Source organism: Homo sapiens, chromosome 14 (genome assembly GCF_000001405.40).
Source record: "Homo sapiens chromosome 14, GRCh38.p14 Primary Assembly".
Lineage (NCBI taxonomy): Eukaryota > Metazoa > Chordata > Mammalia > Primates > Hominidae > Homo > Homo sapiens.
The window spans coordinates 74,837,319-74,842,279 of record NC_000014.9 but is presented as its reverse complement, the minus strand read 5'-3'; the positions used below and the strand labels follow the sequence as shown (position 1 = coordinate 74,842,279).

At 37.5% G+C, this 4,961-nt stretch overlaps 1 long non-coding RNA gene across 1 annotated transcript, besides 1 other annotated feature; it reads right to left on the bottom strand.

Annotated features, from left to right (window-relative positions):
- Positions 219-378: an enhancer, noted in NCBI's record as "active region_8731". NCBI's record gives its function as "activates an Ori minimal core promoter by ATAC-STARR-seq in GM12878 lymphoblastoid cells {active_cell/tissue: GM12878}" and the evidence as "EXISTENCE:reporter gene assay evidence [ECO:0000049][PMID:35858748]".
- On the bottom strand, positions 261-3,114 carry LOC105370569 (uncharacterized). The gene is made up of 2 exons (XR_944033.3): positions 2,135-3,114; positions 261-1,679 (listed from the first exon to the last, which is right to left on the bottom strand). It is a non-coding gene; the product is annotated as an uncharacterized LOC105370569 (long non-coding RNA).
- Positions 3,115-4,961: the final 1,847 nt, after the last annotated feature.

Here is a 4,961-nt window from a genome sequence, read left to right as displayed (position 1 = left end):
ATTACAAATTAAAGAAAACAAAATTATTAATAGTTCTGTAAGCTATTTGCATAACAATACACAAATGATTTTCTCTACTTTGTGGAGAAAACTCCACTGCTCTTGTACAATCACTGAATCCAATACTCTGTTAATTTTCAAGCTTCTGTTATTCATGAGAATTACCCAACCAAGTAGTAAGTGTTTAAGAGGGATCCTAGGTGTATAGCTACCTTATACATGAGAGTTTAAGGAAGTTGGTTTCAGAAGTAATCACATTGTTCCTGATAGTCATATCAGAATGTATTTCCAGGTCCACAGAGTTTAGTAAATACACACATGTCCACTTGCACACGACACACAAAATAAAGGAGAATTCACCATCCTAGAATTTATGAAGGTCTTCATAAAGGAGGTATTGTAGTTAAGAAAAAAGAAAGTGACAGGTTATGGACCAGGAAACCCAAATTCTAGTCTTGTTTTGCCACTGAGTAACAGTGAGACTTTGAGCAAGTCACTTCCCTTCTTTCGGTCTCAGAAACCTCATCTGTAAAACAAGAAGGATCTCACCAGAACCAACTCTAAGGTCTAACCACTTCTCTAAATATCAAAGGTTTCAAGCCGGCAGTCCACAAGTCAGATGTGGCAGGCAGGCTGTGAGGGCCAAAGCACTCACAAACAAAAAGAACCTGATGCTGAAATACTGGAAGATCTCACATAAAAATCCAGATTTTTCACTTTTTCTTGAAAACCCAGGAAATCTGGCAATATGAGACCTATATCCCCACATGGCCACAATCTGCTATGGCTGAGCAGGTGCTGCCCCCGATTGACCTGACCTATCTAGTTGTCTAGTTTACCAGTCTCCACCCTCTGCCTTGCTCATCTGTTACCTGCCTGAGTCTGTGACCCTTGCCATACACATAGGAAACATTCCCTGTATTTACTCACTCTACAGATATATGAGCCATGCACTGAGCCAGATGCTGTAAAAGAAATAAGCATCAGACATATCTACTTGAGAAATACAAACTCACTGTCAGAAATAACAGATCTGAGAGTGGAATTTCAAGTTATGGCAGAAGATATTATTTCAATTTTTCAAATATGGTTAAGAGATGGATCTGTAGCCTAGATCAGTATTTTCAGGAAAAGGAGTACGAATATTTGGTAAAAAGTTCAAGCTTCTTAAGTAGAAGACACAAAGTCAAGCCTTTCCCTATACAGTAAACCATTAAGTCCACAGGCTCTTTGTAGGATCACAAATGCAAGGCACTGCTGGCAGGCAGAGGGCTGTACATGAATGCAGAAGCTCAGCCCCAGTCATAAAGATGCTCCTTGACTATTTCAAATGTGAAAGCAATGGACCTGAAAACTGAGAATGGATCAGTCACTGAGGTGCACGTGCATATAAATATCCAGGTTCTGAGAACAGTGACCTAAGGTATTAACTCTCAGTCACGTGTGGACCAGGGGATCATCAGAGTCTCTGACCATTCTGGTTCTCTAAGACACATCATGGTTCTTTGCTTTGTCAGTCTCCTATCATGCAGAATTTTCCAGGAAACAAGATGTGCCTTCGTCATCTCATTACTGTCATACTGTCTTGAGAGTTCACCGCTGTGCTGTGCTGGTCCTTAAGTGCTTGTCATCCTTTGAGTATGTCTATGAAATGGTGCCATCGGTATTTTCCTTCATTGCTAGAAATCAGGCAAGTACAGGAAGCTGCAGAATGACTGAGTATATGTGAAATTCATAATTTATAACAGTAAACGAGAGCATGAATACCCATTAATAGAGACTCTGTAAGTTAAAATGATAGTAAAGACATAAAACATTCTGCAGCTGCAAAAGAGAATGAGTTGGAAAGCTACTCAGCAATAAAAAGGAATAAGCTATTGACACACATAACAACTTAAATGAATCTCAAGAAAATTACGCTGAGTGAAAAAAGCCAAAATGCCAATCCCAAAAGGTTACATACTGTATGACTTCATATTTATAACATTCTTTAAATGACAAGATTATAAAAATGGAGACCAGATTAGTGGCTGCCAAGGGTTAGAGATGGTGGGGTTGGGGGACTAGGAGAAAGGTGGAGGGTGGTTACACCAACCTACATATATGAAAGAATTGTATACAAATATACCCATACCATGTATTCCATGCCACGAAAAGAACAGAGATGCAGCTGAAACAATTTCTGAAATTTTTCAGTAAACCTCTTTATATTATGAAGGTACCTTTGGAAAACCAAAGAAGGAGGTGGGGGGGAGAGAAAATGTGAATATTTTATATATGATCTGAATGACCTCTAAAACATACTGGTAAAGGAAAAATAAGGTAGTGTGTGTACAAAAACCAGGTAAAAACATTAATACTTAATGCTTATCCACACAATTTTTCTCAACACTGGTTGCCTCTACAGATGGAGTCGTGGGAGGCTGAGGGTTAAGATGGATGGGACACTTGAACCTCCTGAGTTTTATACCTTTATGAACGCATTATTTATTCACAAAGTTACTTTCTTCTTGAATATGTGAAAATCAAGGCAAATCAATGATTCTGTGCCCTCACCTATGTTTATACCTGTGGTCTGACAACTACTTTCTGTTACTACTCAACCCCCTCTAAGTACTAAATTACCTTTTACACCTGAGCCTCTCAAGCCTCCGTACTAGTTCTGAAAATCAATGTCACTGGTTACCTGAAAATGCTTCTGAATAATTACTCTTTCAACACACTGTACTATTACATATGACATAGCTCAGTCTATGATAGCTGACTATAAAACGTGACAACTATCTTCAAGCCAGCTGGATATTTTGAATTTCAAAAAGAACACATGAGAACAAGTCAAAAAGTAACGATGATGGTGACTACTGATTTTTGAGCTTTTACTATGTGCTCAGTACTGTGCCAAGTAGCTTACATGCATTATCTCAATGTTTAATAGGTGTGTTTTGTTATTTTCATTTTATAGGCAGGAAACTGAAGCTCAGATAGGTTAAAATATTTCAGCCAGGCACGGTGGCTCACGCCTATAATCCCAGCACTTTGGGAGGCTGAGATAGGCGATCATTTGCTCCCAGGAGTTCAAGACCAGCCTGTGAAACATGGCAACAACCAATCTCTTAAAAAAAAAAAAAAAAAAAAAGGCTGGGTGTGGTGGTGCACACTTGTAGTCCCAGCTACCTGGGAGGCTGAGATGGGAGAATCACCTGAGCCCAGGAAGTTGAGGCTGCAGTGAGCTATATCGCGTCACTGCACTCCAGCCAACAGAGTGAGACCTTGTCTCCAAAAAAAAAAAAAAAAAAAAAAAAGTTGCTTAAGGTCATACAGCTTCTAGAAGAATCTGAACTTGTATTAGGGTCTGTGAATACTAAAAATGAGAAATCATTCTCCTTCTATGGCTTAGCAAAACTTATCTCAGCTGAGAATCTGTTGCTTTTATAATCCTAGTAATTAAGCCAGGCTCTAGACATCTTTACCAAAATATCTGCAATTTGCACAGTTAGCAGGATAAAATACTTAACACAAAAACTGAGGGGCCTACAAAATAAGAAAACCTCAGTTGAGATTCTTAGTCAATCTAATAAAAAATGTAATAGTCGATCTCTAGATGACATGGCACCTACTTTGGTTTGCTCAATGATCAAAACTCTTTCACGAGGAAAACAAATCCAACCAGAAAATTTAAGATTTTATCTTTGTCAATAAACTTCTGGATTTAACACTGATATCTGAATCAAACTCAAACTTCTAGAAAATTATATGAATCAACTGTCAATAGACTACTTGTGTATTATTATTAATGACTTCTGATTCTACAATCAGTCCCTGAATATTTCAAATACGGCACTTAACTCTAAATATTCTCAAACAGAAACATTTCTGGGTCTCGTCTACTGAATTCCTCACACAGGAAGTTTACAAGTAAAGTTAGATCACTTAAGTGAGAGATTTCACTTTCAGTTTAAAATGTCTGAAATCATCCTTTACAGAGCTGACAAAAAAAAAAAAAAAGCTGAAATACCCACCAAGGTATCAGAAACCTTTCCCAACATAAGATTATTTTAAGTAACATGACACCACAAAAGATTTAAAATAAAACTCATATGATTTAAACCAGCAACTTTCTAAGAGAAGACAATGTTAATAAAATTAAAATAAAATGCTAGCAAATAATGGAATCCAAAATTAGTCCTCTGCATTTCCAGGACACCTCTTAACAAACTTAAAATATTTGTATTATCAAGGCATTTTCTACCCACACCAAATTTCTTCTTCAAGATACCTTGGGCTTCCTATACGATACTGCTTCTAATAGTAATGTAAGTGCAAGAATTTTGTTAAGTCCCACATTGGACTAGCAAAATCAATTATCAGCTGGCTGTCTCTATTACTCTTTTTGGTGCCAAATCTTTTTTCATTAATCTCCTTGCATGAAGGTTGTTATACCCATTTTCTAAAGTAGGAGCACTCTATGTTCATTCTCTAAGGTCACGTAATCTATATCTTCTGAAAATTGGCAGAGGCCGTTTCTGACTATGTTAACTCTTCCCCAGCTTCCCACCCTGCCCTGGTATAAGAGCACAGACATAAAGCCATGGCTGTAAGGTGAAAACACACATATGCAAAATTACCCATGATTCCAAGTGACTCACGGATAATCACCACTCATTTCATTGGCATTCTAACTACTGTCAGAACATCACAAGGTTAAGGACAACTGAAATAAAGCATCCTGCAGAAGAACATATCGGCCTCCATTTCATCTGAACTAGAGAACACATTATGGAAGTTTTGTTTTTGATAATAGGCATTGGGTGGCTTTAGAAAGTAGTAAATGAGTCTTTGTACAAACAATAATTCTATTTGGCTATTTTTGCGACATATCTTCACTCTACATAATAAAGGCTGCTGAGAAAGGTCAGTACACAGAAATGTATTGTAGGCCAATAAGCAATGAAAATAGCTTA